The 23,396-nt window shown below is 44.8% G+C and overlaps 1 long non-coding RNA gene across 2 annotated transcripts in view; it reads right to left on the bottom strand.

Moving 5' to 3' along the window:
• Positions 1-23,396, bottom strand: part of LOC105377732 (uncharacterized) — a 139,446-nt gene that overhangs the window by 76,569 nt on the left and 39,481 nt on the right. Inside the window, exons 2-3 of one of the 2 annotated variants that reach the window (XR_001743001.1) lie at positions 3,705-3,965; positions 2,437-2,537 (exon numbers count right to left, since the gene is read on the bottom strand). This is a non-coding gene — a long non-coding RNA (uncharacterized LOC105377732). Of the gene's footprint in view, positions 1-2,436; positions 2,538-3,570; positions 3,966-23,396 lie in introns of both variants that reach the window. The other variant, XR_007059057.1, reaches the window with a different exon arrangement.

The following is a 23,396-nucleotide window of genomic DNA, read 5'->3' as shown; positions in this document are numbered from 1 at the left end:
TGTCCCCTTAAAATAATTAATTAATTGAATTTTTTTAAAGATTCAAATTCAGGGAGTTGGCACTAAAGTCCAGCCTCCTAATCATTCCATCCACTGGCCCCTAGAGACTCTAGAGACCACAGCATCCACTCGCCGCCATATTTGAAGATTTTAGCACCTGCCTCCCTGTCTCTCTTTCCAAAAACCAGTCCTGTCATGACGCTGAGCGATTTCGATACCATGAAGGCACTTCTCCCAATACTTGTCCTCTTAGTTCCTCAACCTTCTTGCCTCAAATAACCCTGTTCTTGACTCCATAACCCATTTGACTCAGACCTTGTCATTGGCAATAACAGCATGTCATGGACTGAATGTTTATACCTGTCTAAAATTCTTATGCTGAAACCTAACCCCTAATGTGGTAGTATTGGGAGGTGGAGCCTTTGGGAGATGAGTAGGGTCAGATGAGGTCATGAGAGTGGGGCCTTCATGACGAGATTATAACCTTATAAAAAGAGACTCCAGAGCTCACACTCACTCTCCACTCCCCCATCTCTGTGCGCATAAAGAGGAGATGTGAGCATAGGGCAAGATGGCAGCTGCTGGCAAGCCAAGACAAAAGATCTCATAATGAAACCCACCTTGGCGGCACCTTGATCTTGGACTTCCCAGCCTCCAGAACTGAGAAATAACAACCACCAAGAGGACCTCTCCTCCTTGCCTGGTTAATTCCTTGGTCTGTCACTGCCTTTCATACACCCTCAACCACCGTGCCCATGTTTCCTTTTTCATTGTAGCCTAGCAAAACCCCCAAGCCTACTTAAGCTCAACTTTCTACTTACTCTGTGCCTGCTCCGAGCAGCTGAACGTGGCTGGAGAAACACCCCTAGCTGTGTTGACTGGCCCTACTTAAGCTATCAAAGCCCCAAATGCCTCTTGGCTCTGTCTAGCAATCCTACATTTCCCCCGGCAGGTCCTCTCCCTCTCATCTGGGGGACAATTCTCTGACCCCTCTCTGTCCTCCAACTTCCAACACTTCCTCCTTCATCTTCACTGCATCTGTCCCCATATTCCCGCCTTCCTTCTATCACTAAATGGGCTCTTTGCAAGGCCAGCCCCTCCCCTTGGGCCCTGCATCCCATCACCTCTCTCTTCCTCCAGGGCATTTCTCCAGCAGTTCAACCCCCAGGCTCCTGCATCATCAGCCTTTTCCTCTCTGCTGGGTCTTTCCCATCATCTTACAAACACACTGCTATTTATACCTTAAAAACAAAATGTTTCTATACTTTAATCCTATGTTTTCCTCCAGCTACCTTCATATTTTTTTGCTCCCTTTCACAGAGTAGACTTTCTAAATGGTTAATGGAATTCCAAGTGCCCAGGCTCTCCCCTCTCATTCTCTTAAATCCACTCTAGTCAGGCTTTCAGCCTCACCACTCCCTAGACTGTTCTTTCCAGTGTCGATGCCCAAATCAATGGTCAATGCTCATCTTTCACTGCCTTCCCCTTTCAGTAGCATTTGGCATTGAAGATCACTTCTTCCTCTTGAAATACAGCATGATCCAGAATGAATCAAACACTTTCAAAAATGTGTCACTCAGTCCCTAGATTATGAAGAGGTAGTCCACACTTATTCTTCAATGAGCTTAAACAGATATTTCTTTCATCCTACAATTGTCCAATATGCACCCCTCATGTCACATGGCCCTTGTTGACACTGGAAGTTACTTGTCCCAGACCTGAGTAACATATTACTGTTGAATGATTGAAATGGCAGTGACAATACATTTGTTTATGTCCTCGAGGTTGGCAAGAAGACCTGAGACAAACCAAGATCCTTGTGTGATAAAACTTTTATTCTGACTACTGAATAATAAAATTGTTATTGTGCCCCATTCATCTTGACTGACCCTGTACTTTCTTCATGTGCCTCCTGGGACACCATGCTCACCAGGTTTTCTTCCTATCTCTCCTGTTGCTCCTTCTCAGTCTCCTTCATCAGGTCTTTCTAACCTCCCTGACCTTGTAACATGGGTGTATCCAAGTGTTCCTTCCCTGTTATGCCTCCTCTGTGTCTACTCTCACTCCCTGGCTTGCTCATCCAGGCTCTTGGCTTTTCGTGCCATCACTATGCCTGTGTTACCCAGGTGTATATATCTGATCCAGGTAACAGGCTCTCATATCCACCTACCTACTCGACATAGCCACTTGGTGTCTAATAAGCAACTCAAACACCTGTCCTTCCCCGACACAAACCTGATTCTCCCTGTCTCCCCCTTTCAGATGTCAATTCCACCCTTCAGTTACTCAGTCTGACACTATTAATGTCACAGTCCTCCTTGACTCCTTTCCTTCATACCCCACATCTAATACCTCAGCAAAGCCTACCTTCACAGTGGGACAGCCTCTTGCCCCATCACTGCTCCCACTCTAGGCCAAGGTAGCTTCATTTCTTACCTGTATTTTTGCAATAGCTTTTTTCCAGACCTCGCTGCTTCACTCCTGCATCTTGTATTAGCTTCTTACGTTGCCATAACAGATTATCTCAGACTTGATGGCTTAAAACAACAAAAATTTATTATCTCACAGTTTTAGAGGCCAGAAATCAGAAACTAACCCATCAGCAGCACTCTGATTCCTCCAGAGTCTCTAGGAGAGTCTCTTTCCTTGCCTCTACACGCTTCTGGTAGTGCCAGGGATTTCTTGGCTTGTGACTACTAGACTCCAATCTCTGCCCCCATTTTCACATGGCCTTCTCTTACCACCCATCTTCTCTTTTTCTGTCTTTTGTAAGAACACTTGTCACGGGATTTAGGACCTATCCAGATAATCCAAGATGACCTTATCTCGAGATTCTTAACTTAATTACCCTTTTCTAAATAAGGTCACCTTCAGAGATTCTGGGAGTTAAGATGTGGACATATCTTTTAGGGGACCCGCCAGTCAACCCACTAAACCTCCCTAGAGTCTGCTCTCATATGGCAGCAGGAGGGTGGGAGGGTTAAATCATACCTCAAATTGTGCAATGCCTTAAAACCCTCCATAGGCCCTTACTCATCAGAGTAAAATCCAAGGTCCTCACCATGGCCTTGAAGACCTTGCCCCAGGACATGGCACCCACTAACCCTCTGAACTCATCTGCTCCCTGCCCCTCACTCACTCTGCCTTACCCCTGCTCCCCACCCCAGCCTCTAATATCAAACCTGTGGTCCCAGCTCTGGGGCCTCTGTTCTTGTATTTGCTCTGCCTGGAGCATCCTCTCTGACGTGGCTCTGTGATTCACTTTGCGCCCCTCCTCAGGTCTCTTCTTCTCCGTTACCTCCCTAGACAGGTTTTCCCTCTGCCCTGCTCTCAATCACTCACTAGTGTTATTTTTCTTCATGCCATTTGTATTCTCTCCTGTCTTCAATTGCTTATTGCTTATGTGTTTATTGTTACCCACCCCAACTGGAATGAAAGATCCATGCAGACAAGGACTTTGTTTTGCTCACTGCAGTGACTCCACCACCTAGAACAGTGCTTGGTGGGTGGTCGATGCCTCACAAATCCTGTTGGGTAAAACCATCCCTAAATTCTCTGGACAGAGCTTACATCGCAATTTGAAGGCATTTTCCTTCTTTTATCCAAATGGTGGAAGGTAGCATGGGGCTGTGGTTGCGCTCCTAAGTCATTCCTCACTGTGAGCATGGCTATGCTTGCCTCCAACATGCCAACATAGCACTCACCACACCATCTTGTCATGACATGTTTACATATTGTCTCCTCCAGCCAGCAACTCTTCTTGGGACGAATGGGACTTCAGGAGTAATGCTTCTAAGTGCTTCCTGAGGTCTTTGGGTACCACAATTTGTCCCAGACCAGTGATTCTATCAGTGGATGTTTCCAGGACCAGAGCAGACCAGCAAAAGACAATACTTTGACTTGTTAGGTGTGTCAATGCACATTATTTCAGTTCCAAGTAACAGAAGACCAAACTCAGGCTTAACCTATAAAGAGAATGAAAGATCTTAGAGGTAGAACAGGCTTCAGGTGGGGTCTGATCCAGTTAAACATTTTCACTAAACATTCATTTACTTCCATCTCTCTGTGGACCTTCCAAGTCATTCATTTGCTTCCATCTCTCTGTGGACCTTCCCATTCATTCATTTGCTTCCATCTCTCTGTGGACCTTCCCAGTGTCAGCTGCTATGTCAAGGCAGCTCCTCTCACTGTCACAAGAGAACTAACAGGGTTCATCCTCATTCATATCTGAAGGGGGAAGAGTTTCTCTTTCTCCATAATCTTGGGCTGCCTCTTTTTTAATCCACTCACACCACACTTCCACTCCTAAACCAGTTTGCTGTAGCAAGAATTAGGTTAACGGCCTTCCACCAATCCACTTCTAGATCTGGGGGTGGAGGTGGGTCACTCAAACCACATGCTGGGAAATTTGGAGTCCCTTCAGGATGGAAGAAAGGAAATGGATGCTGGGGAGGTGGTAATTCTCAGGACAGTGGGTCTTCCGGAACCTCCAACCCTCCCAGGTGACAGCTGCCCCTGTCTCCACACAGGATTAGTTCTGGGCACCCGCAGTCAAGTTATGGCTTTTATGAGATATGAGCGAATGTAACCAAGGCTTTGGAATGTCTCTTTTAGAAATTAGTGGTGAGCAGACGAAGCATACAATTAAGTATTGAATTTTCTACAAACACACAAGTACACATACACACAGAACAGGCCATGACATTAAGTCCTCAAATCAGATCCCATTCCCACCAGCCTGCCTTGTGCTGAAAGACCTCTGGTTACAGAACATGCCAAATGATGGAGTTGAAACGTTCCATCGTAACTGAAGCAGATCCTCTGCTCGGTATGGAATGCCTTTATGTAACTGCATATCCATGTATGTTCACCCACAACATCAGTCCTGAGGGTTCTTGCTCTCTCTCTCCCTCCCTCCCCAAATCCCAACCTCCCGCCACCAAGATTAACAGGAACTAAATGCTAAGGAAATCTCGACTCTCTATTCAATAGACTTCCCATCTCAAAGTGATTAAAGATTCCAAAAAGCTTCATTGTCTCCTACTACCTCCCCCTGAGCCTGCTCGGTGTCTCAAATTCCCACATTGGTTAGGCCTTTGGATAGGGGGTCTTAAAAATGCAAACAAATTCTCTCTTGGGAAAATAACTAGCAGCCATTGATTCTCAAGGCTGTTAGAGATGCAGAGGGCATGGAACTCTGGTTGTGTAATTTTAATGGAAAGGAAAGAGGCCTTTACACAAAGACCAGAGCGAGGGCTGCCAGAGGATGCCCAGGAAGTAGGCAGAGTGAAGGATCTGAATTTGAGATGGAAGGACACCAGCAGCCAACTTTTCCTACATCCCAATTTGGAGGCATTTTGCTTCTTTTATCAAAATCATGGGAAGCAGCATCACAAGGGTCTCTGATGAAACCCTAGAGTCTGACATCTTGGCTCCAGACTCCAGCTCTGCTCCTGACTGCAACCCTGGGCAAGTCTCCTCACCTCTTCATTCTTACTTTCTTTATCTACAAAATGAAGGTAATATTAAGACCTTGCATGATCACACAAAAATAATATTTTATAGTATAATATATATACTATATTATTAGTAGTATAGTGTAATATGTAATATACACTTGTAGGATAATTATAGCATAACACGTTGCAAAATAGATACTGATATAGTGTAGTTATAGCATATAGTATAATACATAATATATAATAGTAATATAATATGGTTAATAACCCCGGTAAGGTTGTTGGAGGGCTAAATGACATACTTGACAAAGACTGGAATTGGTCTCATTTCTCCATTTCCCCTGTGGTGGTGGTGGTGTTATGGTTCACACACCCTTGCCATGGCCTCAGGGAGCATGGAAGAGCCTTCTCTGCCCTTGACTTTGGATGTGATTATGTCACTTGCTTTGGCCAATGAGATGTTAGCAAAGGTTTGAAATGGACCTGCCTAACTGGCATTGCCCTCTTATGATCCTTCCTCAGCTCAAGGAACCAGCTAGTCTAAGAAGGATAAGGATCACATAGAGAAGCCCTGGATCCCCCCTGCAGCCCAGAGCCCAACCCAGCCAAGCCCTGCATAGAACAGGCAAACCCCAGCCAACGTGCAGACATAGGATCTGTATGCCCTTGAGATTCTGTGGTAGTTTATTATACTGCCAAAGCTGAATGCATACTACACACTCAATAAACATGTACTATTTATATAATTAATGGCATGAAAAATTGCACATGGTTTATACAACCAGGGTATATTTGCAATGTCAGGCTTGTGATATTTGCTCTCATATTGCCCTCTTGGAATCTGAGCCAGCAGGTATCCTGTGATGTGGCTGACCAAGAGAATCATTAGCTTCCCCTCCATTGGCATCAGTGTTTGTCAGGAATCCTCTACTGCATCACCCATTATCCACCCACCAGTCTGATCAATGTGTATTGAGTGCATTCCATGTTTGCTAGACAAGAGGTCATACCACGGTGAATAGGGCAGGTAAGGCTGAGCTTGCAAGGAGCTTGCATTCTAGTGTGGGAGACAGATAACAGATAAACACATAAAGAAACAAGCACACATAGACTCTGATGAGAGCTGAGACATCACTAAACGAAATGATGTGTCAGAGAGTCACTGGGGGAGGCCATTCTATACAGCAGCCAAAGAAAACCTCAACCTTCAGCTCAGGCTGAGCTGAGGGAGGAAGAAGAGGAAAGCAAGTCAGCCTGCAACAAGCTGGGGGAAGAGTGTTTCAGGAGGAAGAATGGCAAGTGCAAAGTGTCTGAGGAGCCGAAAGGCGCCCTGTGGCTAAAAGGAGTGCACAAGAGACAAGTGGGGAGGTGAGAAGGTGGGGAAGGGCCAGGGGTGAGGAGTGCAGCCATACAGGAGGAGGCAAGAAGCCTGAATTTCATTCTCAGCACAGCGAAGTCTTTGAAGGGTCTTAGACAAAGGAACAAAGATCACCCAGCCAAAAGGCTAGCTAGGAGGCTGTGCAGGAGTCCAGGGGAGAGGTAACAGTGTCCCAGACCAGGAAGATGGCTACAGAGAGGGACACACATAGTTGAGGATATAGAGGGACTGGAGGTATATTTTGGAGCCAGAGCAGACAGGATATTCATTCAGAGCAGACAGTTAACCATAAGCCTTGCAGAAATGTGGGCCTCAAGGATAAACCACTGGAAGCCTTCAGAGTCAATGGGGGGACTTCTTCATAATGGAAATAAGCCCAAGAAAGAGACAAACTCCCCTGCCAGGGTTATCACCTCATACAGAACAAGCTTAACATGTTGGTAATAGGAGGGATATGTTTTCCTCATGTGAAACAAGACTGCATAGTCACTGGGGGGAAAATGACGGCCATGGTGTTATTTTCTATGTGCAACACAATGATGAAGGGTGTTTGACCTTAGAAAATACAGAGGAGATAAAAGGACCCTGGTATACTAGTGGTGGGGATGTCAATCGGTACAGCCATTATGGAAACAGCATGGAGGTTCCTCAAAAGATTAAAAACAGAACTATCATATGAACTAGCAATCCCACTTGCGGATCTATATACAAGGGAAAAGAAATCAGCCTGTTGAAGAGATATCCGCACTCCCACGTTCATTACATGTTCATTGCAGCATTATTTACAGTAGCCAAGATATGGAAACAACCTAAGTGTCATTGACAGATGAATGGATAAAGAAATTATACATATATATATGGGTGTGCGTGTACATGTGTGTGTGTGTGTGTGTGTGTGTATAAAAATACAGTTTGGCCGGGTGCGGTGGCTCATGTCTGTAATCCCAGCACTCCAGCACTTTGGGAGGCCGAGGTGGGCAGATCATGAGGTCAAGAGACCGAGACCATCCTGGCCAACATAGTGAAACCCCATCTCTACTAAAAATACAAAAATTAGCTGGGTGTGGTGGTGTGCACCAGTAGTCCCAGCTATTAGGGAGGCTGAGGCAGGAGAATTGTTTGAACCCTGGAGGCAGAGGTTGCAGTGAGTCGAGATCATGCCACTGCACTCTAGCCTGGCGACAGAGCGAGACTTGGTATCTCTCTATAGATAGATAGATAGATAGATAGATAGATAGATAGATAGATAGATAGAGATATATATAGATATATGGTTTGGATGTATGTCTTCTCCAAATTTCATATTGAATTGTAATCCACAATGTTGGAGGTGGGGCCTGGTGGGCGGTGATTGGGCCATGGGGGCAGGTCCCTCATGAATGGCTTGGCACCATCTCCTTGATAATAAGTGAGCTTGCTCTGAGTTCACACAAGATCTGATTGTTTAAAAGAGTGTGGCACTTCCCCACTACCCCTCTCTCTCACTCCTGCTCTCACCATGTGACATGCTGGCTCTCCCTTCGCCTTCTGCCATGATTGGAAGCTTCCTGAGGCTTCCCCAGAAGCCGAGCAGTTGCTGGTGCCATGCTTCTTGTACAGCCTGCAGAACCAGTAGTGAATTAAACCTCTTTTCTTTATAAATTACCCAGCCTCGGGTATTTCTTTATAGCAATGCAAAAACAGCCTAACACAATATATACACACATATATACACAATGGAATCATATTCTGCTTTAAAATAGGAAGTCCTGTCATATGCAACAACTATGGATAAACCTGGAGAACATTATGCTAAGTGAAATAAACCAGACATGGAAAGACAAGTACTGCATGATCTCACTTATATGTGGAATTTGAGACAGTGGAACTCATAGAAGAGTAGAATGATGGTTGCCAGGGGTTGGGGGTGTGAGTTTGGGGTAAACAGGGAATGGGGAGGTGTTGGCCAAGGAGTACAAGCTTTCAGTTAAACAAGAATACATTCCGGAGACCTATTGTATAGCATGCTGACTATATGCAATCATAATCTATCATATAATTGAAAATGGCTATTGGCAATTGTGAAGAGGCTCTCTGGGGGCACTGGCTCTGTTTAGAACACAACAGGATGTGTCTCTAATGGTTCATCCTCTGTAATTAGTTTTACCAAAAATAAGACAAAATATGCATTTGTTTCCCTCTGGAGCCTCCTTCCTAGTGGATCTCCAAAGTCTCCTAAACATGTTTTGAACGCGTGGAGAAATCAGTGCATTTAGGACACCATGGCTGAGCTTCTGCTGTAGCTTTTGCAATGGCTGCAGGCCAGCAGGGAGAAAGAGGAAAGGGAGAAGTCTAAAATCTGGACAATGAACGGGAAACCAGGGCCCAAGAACCCTGAGTGATCATCAGAACCTGCATTTTCCTCGCCTGGGGTTTGCCTCACTGAGGTTTTGAGGATGAGTGACATCTCAGGTTCATCTGTCACCCACCTCACAGCCTGCTGGCAGCAATGCTGAGGCTGCAACTCCTGGAACACATGCTTCCACCTTGCCCGTCTGTCCTTGGTGAGCAGGGCACACTTCACTGTCCTGGAAGCCTCTTGACCCCCAAGAAACATGAAGCCAGCCCTGGCCCCTGATCTGTCTGCACCTGGTACACACCTCCAATGGGTACAACACTGACCCAGGATAATCTGTGTATCTGATGCCCTCGCCACTGGACTCCAACCTCTTTGTGGACAGGGACTGTCTTTCCATCCATATGCCCAGCACATGGCATAGCACAGAGGAGATGTTACACCCACACATGCACGCAGGAGGGATTGAGGGAGGCCTCCACAGCCTCAGGAAGTGAGGCAGAAAGATCTCAGACCTTCTGGCCTTTAAAACGTAAATATAAGTACCCCAGAGGGTACCAAATCAAGCGCAGAGTGAAAACTCACCAAGCCCTCATACATCTCCTGTCTTACCCCAAAAGAACGCAAAGTCTCTCCCAGGAATGGAAGGGCAAGAACTGTAGAAGCAATGATGGAAATGCCTTTGGAGATGTCATAGGATCAGCTTCTGGGATTCCATGTACATTTGCTAAAGCTGATGTTTTAGAGGTGTGGGTTATTTATGATTGCTAACTCCATCACAGTTACATGAGACAGTGTGGTTATTTGGAGAAACTAAATGTCAAGCTGCAGTTCCCACCACTGGGAGGTAAAGGGCTTCCCACTGTTCCAGCCCAGCCTTGAGGCCTGGAGTAACTTCCCCCAACCTATCCATAGAGGGAAATCCTCCTTCCTCTCCTGCAAGGCCAGCTTAAATATCTCTCCAAAAGGCCTCATCAGACCCCCTAATGGGAGCGAATGTGGTCTTCTGAGTGTCTGGGGGCACTGGGAGAAGCAGAGTGTGGCTGTGCTTAGAGGGTGAACTTCGGAGCCAGCCTGCCTGGGTTCCAATCCCTATTCCCACTTACTGTTTGTGTGCTCATGAAGGAGAAATCTAACCTCTCTTGATTCAGATTCCTCACCTAAAAAACATGGATGTTAACAAAACCTATGTCTCAGGGGTGCTCTAACAACGAGTTAATACACACAAAAGCACATGAAGGATGCCCTGTGTTTACTATTATTATTATTACTTATATTCCTTAGGATAAAGACTGTATCCTTTCTTGTAACTAGCCACTGTTGCACCCTAGGTGGAGGCAGCTCAAGAAAAGAAATCACTTAGCCCAATCTTTGTTGTGCTCTCACTGCTGTGTGGCTCACACAGAGTAAATATAAATCAGTGACTATTTCCTCCGTGAACATGCAGGTGTATTATAGAGAAGACACCCCCTGTCCCACCACCCACATAAGAAAAACGGAATCTTGATGCTGGTAATACTCAGTCATCCCTTTTCCCCTAAGGAATTTGGGCTGTGACAACATCCGCATTCAGCAGCAGCAGGTCTGGGCCAGCTTTTTTTAGACTCCAATCCTTCTTACTTTTTTTTAAACACACTTGTCTCCCTCAACCTCCTTTTCCACAAACATAAAAGAAATGGGTCATATGGAAGCCAAAGAGTAGATGGTAGGAATTCACAGTCAATTGGAAAAGAGGAATGAACTGGCAGAGCAGGGACGCCTGGGCTCAAATGCTGGCCTGGCTGCTGTATCTCCACCTATGGCCTTGAAGAAGTCAACGCAAGGCTCTGAGCCTTCCCATTCCTCACCGAGTAGATGGAGCAATGATATCAAGCTCATGATCGAGGTTGGTCTCGGGAGGAACAGACAAGCTTGCAAATGAAGTGTGTAGCATCCATCAGAAGCTGCCCAGCCCTGGGTTCCACAGGCCCAAGTGCTGCTCTAAAGTGCACTGAGAGCTCAGTGTCTCTGACTCAGTGCTTTACAACTGCAAAGCCCCCAAGGGCAAGAGGACAGCTTGTTTAGATTCATCTGAGTGTCCTTTTCCCAAGAGCCTGGTACATGCTGTAAGCACACCAGGGGCACTCCACAAATATCTCAGATACCTTGGTGAAGGCCGGGTGCAACAGCTCACCCCTATAATCTCACCACTTTGGGAGATGGAGGCGGGAGAATTGCTTGAGGCCAGGAGTTCAAGATCAGCCTGGGCAACATAGTGAGAAACCGTTTCGATAAAGAAATTTGTAAATAAAATTACTTGAGAGTGGTAGCTGCGCCTATGTTCCCAGCTACTCAGGAGGCTGAGACAGGAGGATCGCTTGAGCCCACGAGGTCGAGGCTGCAGTGAGCCATGATTGTGCCACTGCATTCCAGCCTGGGCAACAGAGACAGACCCTGTCTCAAAAAAAAAAAAAAAAAAAGTCAATGAAACCACTTGCCTTTTCAGGGAGAGGGAAAGTGGACTATGGGATCGAACCTAGAATGTGGGTGTCCTGACTCCACATCCAGAGTTCGATCCACGAGACTTGGGTCTCACAGCCATTTGGCCACTCACAAAAGGACAAGAAATGTCTGAGTGTTCCAGTGTCTGGATCCAGCGGGACACAAATGGCCAAGTTTTCAAGATGGAAACGAAATAAGAGGAACACCCATCCATAATGTGAAACGTTGAAACCAAAACCAGGAAAAAGTACAGGCCCTCCCTCTCATCGGAAGCCAGAATAAAGGAAAGAGAAGGAGGCAGAGCAAAAAAGAGGGTGGAGGAAACAAAAAAGAAAGAAAAGAGCAACAGAAGCAGGGCACAGAGTCAAGAGGGAATACGATTCCCTGAGAGCTGCAGTAAGACGGAGCAGCAGAGAGCGGAAGAGCCAGGGTGAGGGCGCGGGTGCGGCGGGAGCTGGGCTGGGAGGGAGGGGCTCGAGGAGCAGAGCTACCTCGGGGAGCCCACACGAGGCCATGAAGTAACAGGAGGTCAGGAGAGTGTCACAGGCTCCACAGGGATTAGAATCCTCTCACAGGCAGCCACGGACAAATCACAGCTCCGTGAAGGCAACTGAAGGGAGGATGATTGTAAATCCACACTCGCGAGGCCAAAGCCTCAACCTGGTAGCCAAAGCAACTGCATCTCCAGGAAACAAAAGAGTCTGATTGGAAAGAAATGAAGCAGTGGGGGAGATACAGCGCTGGGCTTGGCTGGACTTCCCAGTCTGGGCCCGAGCAGGAAAATGAGAAGCATTTCAGCAAGCCAGACAGGGCAAGCCGTTTTCCTTGATTCAGAGACTTCTCCAGTTGAACCTTCCGTTCAAAAGGTGCCCTTTCATCCAGCAAGCTAAGTGGACAAAAGGACAGGGACCCGGTCCAGCTCCACACTACTCAATGTCCTCAGTAGAGATGGATTGTCCTGGACTGCCCAGTGTGCGTTCTGTCTTTTGGTAGCAGCAATGGACTTTTACAGCACCTACCCCTCCCCATGCCTTCCCCAGGTGCCCCCCTCTGGCTCTACTGTAGGGCATGTGGGTTGGGTAAAAGCCGTTGGGTAAAAGCTAACGTGTAGGCTGGGTGTGGTGGCTCACGCCTGTACTCCCAGCACTTTAGGAGGCCAAAGCGGGTGGATCACTTGGGGTCAGGAGTTTGAGACCAGCCTGGCCAACATGGTGAAACCCTGTCTCTACTAAAACTACAAAAATTAGCTGGGCATGGTGGCGTGTGCCTGTAATCCCAGCTACTCTGGAGGCAGAGGCACGAGAATCTCTTGAACCCAGGAGGCAGACGTTGCAGTGAGCCGAGACGGTGCCACCGTACTCGAGTTTGGGTGACGAGCAAGACTCCATCTCAAAAAAAAAAAATGCTAATGTGTATAATCCTACTGTCCCGTTCATAGGAGGTGGGTGCAGAGCTGGTTTATGCTCCCTAAACTGGTCCAGTAAGAGCAAAATCCAAGATTTTGTTTAATGATTGAAGAAAGGGATAGTCTCTTCCCTGCTGTATATTAATTGGAAGTACCATAGCCCCGAGGGCCATAGGTAAGCATCTTGTGATAATGAGGAGAGAATTTTCATGAACCTGGAGCCAAGCCAGGGGAAACGGGACTGAGTTTCTTCATCTAGGTTACATTATTTCTGGATCAAGGTGCTCCTGAAGTCCCCCGGGATGTTCATTTAAGCAAATCAACAAATTCCCTTTAATGATTAATCCAACTGGGGTTGAGTTTCCTGTCATATGCAAGGAAAAGACTCCTAGCACAATGTCTTACTGATTTTATGCATGATCACCTTACTTTGGGCAATCATCATCATCTAAAAATAAAAGCAAGTGCTAGAGTAAACACACGTGGGAAGCAAATTTAAGTACATTGAATCATTTCAACGTGAGGAATTAGAGGGGCTCACTACCTGTTAGAATGGCTAAACGTTTTAAAGCTGACCATATTGAGGGTTGGGGAGGATGTGGAGGAACTGGAATGTACACATACCTCCGGGAGGTTTGAGCTTTGTATAATAACTGCACTGGGAGATGGGGAGTGATGGGGAATTCACTGAGAACCATGGGGGTCCAGGGGCAGGAGGAACTCCATGTAACATAGGGCAAGATGGAACTCATCATAATGAGAATAATGCTGCCCTCTACTTTATCCTAAATCCCCTCATTCCCCATTTACTCCACTCATCCCACCCCACCTCTAACCACCACCATCAACATCTGACCTGATCTGTCGACACGGATAGGCACATCACTTGACCTCTCTGGCCTCTGCTGCCTCCACTGTGGAGTGGGAATTATATCCCAAAGGCAGAAGGCTGAGCATGTTCTCCCCAAAGCACGGAGCAGGAAAACGGCTTGGACCAGAAGCAGCCCATTCCAGGCCAAGCAGCTGCCTCTGGCTCGACTTGGCATGAGAAGAGAAACTGGGCCAGCCACATTTCCTGTACTAGGAATCTGAACCAGGGCTTACTGAGATGATGGGCAACAATTGGTGGGAGCCAAGCTGGAAGGGTCTGGGAGGAAGAGTAGAGTGATGGGGGTTCAGGGTGCATCCAAACCATGTGAAAGCCAAACCTGGGAGTGAGCAGAAGTATCAGAGAAGAGATACACAGAACAGAGGATGAAGACCTCCAGAGAGTAGTGAGGGGGAAAGAGCAGACACTCAGCAAGAAGCAGAGACAGTGGCAGCGGGGGTTGGTCACAGCCCCCAGGGCCTCCTCAGTCCCCAACACTTCCTGGTCCCCATTTTGCTCCTCTGTATTCTTCACAACCTACCCCTCCCTTTAAGGGGCCTTGCGAGGTTCAGCCAAAGATTCCTGAGGGCTCCTTTCTCCAGCTCCAGCACCCAGAAGCCTCCACCCCTGAGTGCTGCAGACTGACCGATGTCCTGCAGGAGGTGACCACGTGCCTTCTCATCTCTTACAAGGGGAAACTCCTTCATTTCAGTGGTTCACTTCTTATCAGCATTACAATTTCAGACCCAGGAATTCAAAATCCAGCCAGGCAAGGTTACTTTCTTAGACATGCAAGTCTCCTTGAAAAACTAAGAAGTCAGGAATCACTGTGTCTTCTAAAACAATCTCAGAAGACAAGAAACCAAAAAAGCCCAAATGAAAATATGGACTAAAAGCATTTCTTTGGATTACAAGGTTACAGAGAGACCAAGTGTGTGTGTGTGTGTGTGTGTGTGTGTGTGTGTGTGTGTGTGTGTGTCTGTGTGTGTCTGTGTGTGTATGTGTCTGTGTCCCTTTAGTCCATTGACCTGTTTAACCTTCCATGAGTCTCCAAGCCTGGCCCATGGAAGGAGCCTGAGGCTGAGAAGATGGAAGAATTGTGGTCCCCTCAGGGAGAGGGCAAGGATTGCCTGTAGGAGAGCTCAAGGGAGGCTTCTGGAGTACTAGAAATCTTCCATAGCCTGATCTAGGTAGTGGTTCCACAAGTGTAAGCATATGAAAAAATGCATCAGGTTGAACACTTTAGATGGGTACACTTTACCCAGGAATTCCAAAACTCCTAGGCTCCTAGGTTTATACCCAAAAGAATAGAAAGCAGGAACTCAAACAGATATTCCTATACCAGTGTTCACAGCAGCATTATTCACAAGAGCCAAACAGTGGAAACAACCCAAGTGTCCATCAACAAATAAACAAAATGTGGTCTCTACATACGATGGAATATTATTGCCATGAATAGGAATGAAATTTTGATGTATGCTGCAACACAGACAGCCCTTGGAAACATTATACATGATATATGCCAGACACCAAAGGGCAAACACTGCATGATTACACTTACACAAGGTATCTGGAATAGGAAAATTCATAGAGACGGAAAGTAGACTTGAGATTACTAGGGCCTGGGGATAGGGACAAAGGGGAAGTTACTGATAATGAGTGCAGAGTTTTTGTTGGGGATGATGGAAAAATTGGGGGTATAGATAACGGTAGCGACTACACAACACCGTGAATGTATTTAATGCCACCAAATTGAATACTTACAAATGGTTAAAATGGTTAAATATTATGTTATGTATATTTTACCACAAAAAGTCATACTTTATATACATGTTACACCTCAATTCAAGAAATGAGGAAGTCAGTTTTGGTGGCACACACCTGTAGCCCCAGCTACTCTGGAGACTAAGGTGGGAGGACTGCTTAAGCCCAGGAGTTCAAGATCAGCCTGGGCAACACAGCAAGGCCTTGTCTCTAAAAGAAATGTTTTGATACAGGGTCTCACTGTCAACCCAGGCCAGAGTGGGGTGGTGCAATCACGGCTCACTGCAGCCTCGGCTTCTCAGGCTCAGGTGATCCTCCCACCTCAGCCTCCCAAGTAGCAAGGACTACAAGCATGCACCACCATGCCCAGCTAATTTTTGTATTTTTTGTAGAGACAGGGTTTTGCCATGCTGGCCAGGCTGGTAGTGAACCAGGGCTCAAGCACTTCTCCTACCTTGGCCTCCCAAGTGCTGGAATCACAGGCATGAGCCACCATGTCTGGCAAAAAAAAAAAGAAATCTTTATTATTATTATTTAAAAATAGATAAAATTTTTTAAAAAGATATGGGGAAGTGTAGTTGGTCCCATTGACACTCTGAGAGCTGTAAACACCTTTTTTCCATTAGAAGACACATCCATATCCATGCATCCAGGATACTTTGCTAGGCCATGTAGCAGATCTTGGATTCAAACTCAGGTCTGTGAATCCAGAGGCCAGGACTAAAGACCCTCCTATAAATCAACCCCTCTCTTCTAAGCTGGTCAATCCATTCTGCTCAGGCTGAGGACTGTCCCCAGCTTGCCAGGGACAGCTGCAGCTGCTGACCTCTCTTTACTGGGTGGCTCAACAACCTGGGTCACTTGGAGCCAGTGTCCTTCCTGCATCTGAGCTGGCCCCAGGGTGCTTATGAAGCCTCTCTGTCTGCAGAAAACACCTGGTTCCCTTGTCTATAAAAAGCAACTAGCTCAGAAGGTGTGGCTGAAACCAAAAATGACAAAACATCCCAAATCCAATGATGAATTTAATCCCACCTGGCACCAGGAAGCATAGACAGGCACTATTCACTCCACCCTTCCTCTTCTGGGTTGGAATAAATATAGATGCCCATGACACCAACTTTCCACCCTCTGTGCACACCAACTTGTTCTACTCCACCAGGTACATTGGAACAACATGTTTGTGACAAAGATCTCACAATAACATCAATTCAATAACATCAACAACCTTTGAAGAGAGAAAGGAAGCCCTTCCATAGACCATGGAGTTTAGAGGTTAAAGTATCCTTCAAGATCATCCCACCAAATCTCTTCATTTTCCTAGAAGAAAAAATCATAGGGAGGGGGTAATGAGGATGACTGATATTCAGGGTTAGATAGCCCCAAGTTTGAACTCGACTTTGATACTTACTAGTCATAAGATCTCAAAAAAGTTGAGTTACAGTCTTTGAGGCATCATTTGCTCATCTGAAAAATGGGGATAATAATACCAACCCCACAGAATTGTTGTGAGATGAAATAAGATTAAATGACCTAGAGCCTGGCAGGTGCCTTTCTCACTGTGGTAGATATTCTTCATCATCACTGTCATCATTAGGATCATCATCATCATCATCATCATCAACATCATCAAGAAACTAAGGCCCAGGGAGATGAAGAATGTGTCCAAAATGGCACGGCTGTGGCTTGTGTCAAAACAAAGTGTCCCACACCAATAGCTTTTTCCATTTCATCACCCTGACACAGCACTATTGCCTGGGCCTAGAAATTTACAGCACTTCATGGAAAATGTGTGAAATTATACAGCTTTTCCACATTTCCAAATTAGAAGCCCAGCTTGATGTTTAAGAGTCTTCAGCACAGAAACAGGCTTTGGAGAGTATGAATGTTAAAACCAAAGAGTGTGAGCTTCTGCCCTCTCTCCCTCCACCTCAGAGCCTGGAATTCTCAAGGGGGTTAGCAACACGGCTGAAGGAGGCCCAGATGGTTCACCTACAGGAGCGACGCACAAAGCCTGCCCAAGAAGGCCACTGAACTGTTAGAAAGCCAAAGTCTGAAAGGAGGGCTAAGATGAAATTGTGAAGGGAACAGATAATGACCATCATAGTAACATTTGTGGAGTACCTAGTAAGTTATGTGCAAGAGACCATTTTAAGCACCTTACATCCATTAGATTTTTTTAACCCTCCAACCCTATGAAATAGGCAAATGAATCACCCACAAGTGAGTAAGCTGAAGCAAAGGGAACGTTACAGACTCACTTCTCAGGGGGATTTTTCACTTCTCGTTGCTGAGATATGGCTACATCAGGATACCCAACTTGCCTTCCAAAACCTTGGAACTTCCAGGTTTTGCTAGGTTGTCTTTCCATCCAAAATGCCTTTCCTCTGTCTCTGTTTGGTGTAATCCTATTCCTCCTTCAAGGCTTAGCAGAAATGTTATCTCCTCTGACTTTTCCAGGCATCATTATCCATTTTGCCTTCTGACTCATTCACCTGGAAGCTCAGCACTTACCATGCTGTATTACAGTTAACTGATGGGGGGCAGGAGGCACAGTGTGTGCATGCACACGTGTGCACACACATACATGCAAGAATGCTCCTACACCAGTGGGTGAGCTCAAGAAGGGCTAGAATTGTGTTTCATTTGCCTTTATATCTCCAGGATAGTATTGTTTGGTGCACATAAAAGATGGCCAATAAAGATTTGTTGGAATTCTTTTTTTAATACCTATAGTCACACAGTTTGTAGTTGGAGACACTAGGACATCATCAATAAGAACTTGTCCCCCAAATCCAAGAGCTCACGTGATCTGTTGAAAGATATTATCTCCAAAGTTGTTGTTGGTTAAATGTGCACAGGAACACAGCTTCAAACGAGTAGTTTACCATTATGAGTTAATTGAGCAAGTGGACAAAGATACATATTCAAGGATGTTCATTACAGCCTTGTTTATAATGGAAAAAAACGAAGCACCCTAAATGGCTAGCCATGGAGGACTGGTTAAAGATATCTCAGTGTGTACCTAAAATGAAATGCAATGTCACTTTTAAAATGATTAGATACATCTCTGTGTACTGATATGAAAAGCTCTCTGTGATGTATTCCTGAGTTTTTTTTTAAAGCAGATTACAAAACTGCATCATTAATATTTAGGCACACTTACATAACTGAACATCTTCACATGTGCTTAGAGGGAAGTTTTGAAGTGAGTTCACCAAAATTAACAGTAATTATACTTGTGTGGAGATACTTTGGGTAGTTTTTACTTTCTTTTTATACATTTCTGTACTCATTAAACTTTTTACTTTGAGAATGCATTGTTTATATAACCAGAAAAAAACAGTAATTATATTTTTATTTTGGAAAAAAATCTGTATAATCTCAAAAGAGGCTTTATAGATTCATGGGTGACAAAGCTCCAAACTGCTTCCTGAAAAGAGTTAGAGACCCTTAAACGTAGAGGGTGCCATTGCCTGTCCAGGAACCCTAATTTTTCCTTCTGGGAAATGAATGTAGTACCACTGCTCTGCCTACCCCACAGGGCTGCAACAAGGAGCTAATGGGTTTGAAACTGTTTTGAAAAATAAAAAGTACAAATAGATGTAAAATGTGAATTCGTATGATAATTTAATCATTGCTGATTAGGAATTTGCAATAAACTGGTAAGGCATGTGATACGGTTTGGATTTGTGCCCTTGCCCAAATCTCATGTCAAATTGTAATCCCCAATGTTGGAAGAGGGACCTGGTGAGAGGTGATTGGATCTTTGGAGTGGATTTCCCTTTTGCTGTTCTCATGATAGTGAATGAGTTCTCAAGAGATCCAGTGGTTTAAAAGCGTGTGGCACCTCACACCTCTCTCTCTTCCTCCCGCTCCGGCCGTGTAAGCCGTACCTCCTTCCTCTTCCCCTTCTGCCATGACTGTAAGTTTCCTGAGGCCTCCCCAGCCATTCTTCCTGTACAGCCTGTGGAACTGTGAGTCCATTAAACTTCTTTTCTTTATAAATTACCCAGTGTCAGGTAGTTCTTTATAGCAATGTGAGAACAGACTAATACAGCATGCTTTACTGTGATTTCAAATGCCAATGGGGACCAGGCAGGTCAGAGAGACCTTCAGGGCCTCTGGAGTCCTGGCCCAGTGATTTCTGAAGAGAAACCTGAAATCTAGATTTTTATGTGAATTATCTCAATTTTTAAAAATTGGCACCTAATTTAAAAAAATTTCAAACATCATGCCATCCCTATAAAATGCATCCTCCAAACCACACACATTTGCAATTTCTGGTATATATTCCCCTAACTTAAAGCTCAAGATTAACTCATTTATCTCTTGTCTATTGACATAGTTATATACCATCATTCCCAGGACTGAAGTACTTCTTGAATTTAAAAGAAAGATCCCACTATGAGCAGTCTAATTTTAGACTTAGATGCCTTATTGCATTCTTGTTTCAATTGATAGTTTTTATATGACATAAAAAGCAATTCATTATTAACCAGAATATTAAACTAATAAGAATATCCTATATGTCCTAATCATGTCAAATGACAGAATTCTGAATAAAAACTGTGCACTATATTTATGTTTGTGCAATTACATATATACCTATACTCAAAGGTGTGAATGTGTCCTTATCTACACATAGTATGTTTTCAAACCCAAAGAAAACACACCTGTCCTTTTAAAAAGGCACTGTGTTTTTTATTTTTAATTGTAATCTGAAAGATGTTAGCAAAACACAATTGAATGGCACATCTTTATTTTTATTGTATATATTTAAGGTGTACAAAATAGTGTTTATATATATGTGGGGGGGTAGATAGAGAAGTGATAGCAATAGTGAAATCTACATACTTATCACGTTCCATAGTTACCACGTGTGTGTGTGTGCGCGCACATGCAGTAAGAACATCTATTAATTCTACTCTCTTGGCAAATTTTCAGTCTATAAAACAGTATTATTAACTATAGGCTTCATGCTATACATTAGATTTCTAGACTAAGGTGTCCTACCTCATTGCAAATTTGTACCCTTTAACCTACTTCTCTCCTTTTCCTCCCGCTATTATCCTCCATTCTACTTTCTCTTTGTACTTATTTGACTTTTGTCAGGAGTGGTGGCTCACACCTGTAATCCCAGCACTTTGAGAGGCTGAGGCAGTAGGATCACTTAAGCTCAGGAGTTTGAGACCAACCTAGGCAACATGACAAAACCCCATCTCTACAAAAAATACAAAAATTAGCCGGGTGTGGTGGCGCATGCCTGTAGTCCCACCTACACAGGAAGCTGAGGCAGGAGGATCACTTGAGCCCAGGAGGTGGAAGTTGCAGTGGCCTGAGATCATACCACTGCACTCCAGCCTGGGCAACAGAGCCAGAACTATCTCAAAAAAAAAAAAAAAAAAAGATTTGCAAGTAAATGATATTATATAGTACTTTTCTTTCTGTGTCAGCATAATGTCCTCCTAAGTATCCATCCACCGACAAATGGATAAAGGTACTTTGGTATACATAAGTGGAATATTATTCAGCCTTTAAAAAAGGAGAGACTGCCATTTAAAAATCTTATCTCCAAATACAGCCACATTCTGAGGTCTTGAGGGTTAGTCTTTCAACATAAGGAATTTAGGGGGACATGAATCAACCCATAGCACTCCATGAAAGGGGCTTTTCAGTGCTGCCCCAGACTTCTCAGCCTTCTCTCCTGCTTGGTAACCCCCTCCTTGTTCTTGAGTCCCAGATCGACATCACACATGGGGTGGGAGATAGCAGGACACCACAACAACATGGTTGAACCTGGATGGCATATTAATGGGGTCCAACCCCACATTAAAAGGTTGAAGCTTCACTGCTTCCAACAATCACGAAAATATACTCCAAATAATTCATATACATCTGTGTGGATAAATAGATGGATGAAAGGATATGAAGAAAGCTTATAAAAGTATGCACAATATAATAAAAAGAGAATAAAATCATAGATATGGGAAAGGAAGGCTGTGCAGCAGGACGATGTCAGGGAAAATTAGCACGCAAAGACCCATGGTGCCAGCCCTACATACTCATGTACAGACTGCAATCCCAGCAACCAGGACAGACAGATGCTACTCATCAGATATTCTCAATGTGTTGCTATCACAATCGACGATTTTTGTTCTCCTGGTGATGAAACTAAATGACATAAAGTCTATCCTATGGCCCTAAGCTAAAGATGACAGATCAACTAAAAATATTCTGAGAGCATTAGGAAATAGAAGGCCAAGAATCTTGCTATGCCTTTTATTCAGCATTCTGAGACCATCCATACCCAGTTCTGTGACTGTCCACTGACTTCTTTTATCCCAAGACAGACTCCTATGCACACACTGTCATCATTCACTTACTTCAAAACTCCAATTTAAAAAAAAAATAAGAAAGGCCACATTTTAAACTAGGCCAGCCTTTAATATGTGCAGACAAAAGACAAACAGTCCCAAAATAACCCCACCCACACCTCTTCATCTCCACACCCACCGTATTCAGAAGGACTTTTCATACTGTTCATGTTGTCCAGAGTCCTAGGACTCTGATGAAAACCCTGTAGCTGCTTCTACCAAAACACCATGCAGTGTGGTGTCGATCTGGGATTCAGGAACAAGGAGAGGGGTTACCAAGCAGGAGAGGGGAAGGCTGAGAAGTCTGGAGCAGCACTGAAAAGCCCCTTTCATGAGTGCTATGGGCTGAACTGTGTCCCCCTAAATTCCTTATGTTGAAGGCCTAACCCCCAGGACCTCAGAATGTGACTATATTTGGAGATAAGTCTTGTAAAGAGGTGATTAAGGTAAAATGAGGTAATACAGATGATTACCTCATTACCTCATTTGCCTAATTAAAATGACTGGTGTCCTTACAAGAAAAGGAGATTAGAACATAGACACACACAGAGAGAGATCCATGTAAAGGCACAGGAAGAAGATGGCCATCTACAAGCCAAGCACAGAGACCTCAGGAGGAACAAACCTGGCAGCACCTTCATCTCCAACTTCCAGCCTCCAGAACTGTGAGGAAATACATCTCTGTTGCTCAAGTCACTCAATATGTTATGGCAGCCCTAGCAAACTAATGGAGGGATTTAAAAACAACCACAATAACTCTTCAGTTATTGGGGAGGCCATCTTGATGAGAGGTTCTTGCTGATGAGAAAGAACTCTTGAAGAAGGAAAGATGGCCTCTTGCATGCTAGGGCTGTACATTCTCAGTTCATCCTTAAAATTTTGCTCTACTTTACTACCTCTCATTGTTTGATTGTTTGTCCAGCCTTAGACTTTTCAATCTTCTAGTTGAGAAATCTCAACTGCTATTTCCCACCATCTTGATGCCGACTGTTGCAATTCAAATGTACGTTCAAAAATACCAGGCTGGTGAGAAGGAAGATGGGACTCGGCGGGATGAAGATGGAGCTGGGGAGAGTGGCAGTGACATCTGTGAAACGTGAACAGATGAACAACGTAATAGCATTTATAAGCAGTTCACCGTGACCCTTATATTGGCTACACATTTGACATGCCAACTCATTCAATCATGTCACGTTACCCCACAGGTGCAAAAATGGACACGGAACTGTTGCATGGTGTGTCCGAGACCACATGCTAAGTGGTGGAGCCAGCACGTGGATCCAGCCAGTCTGGTTCCAGAGCCTGCGCTCTTAACTCCCACCTCTCAGTGAG

The sequence above is a fragment of the Homo sapiens genome, chromosome 5, assembly GCF_000001405.40.
Source record: "Homo sapiens chromosome 5, GRCh38.p14 Primary Assembly".
NCBI lineage: Eukaryota > Metazoa > Chordata > Mammalia > Primates > Hominidae > Homo > Homo sapiens.
Note: the sequence above shows the minus strand (reverse complement) of the source record. Positions and strands in the feature narration are given on the sequence as shown.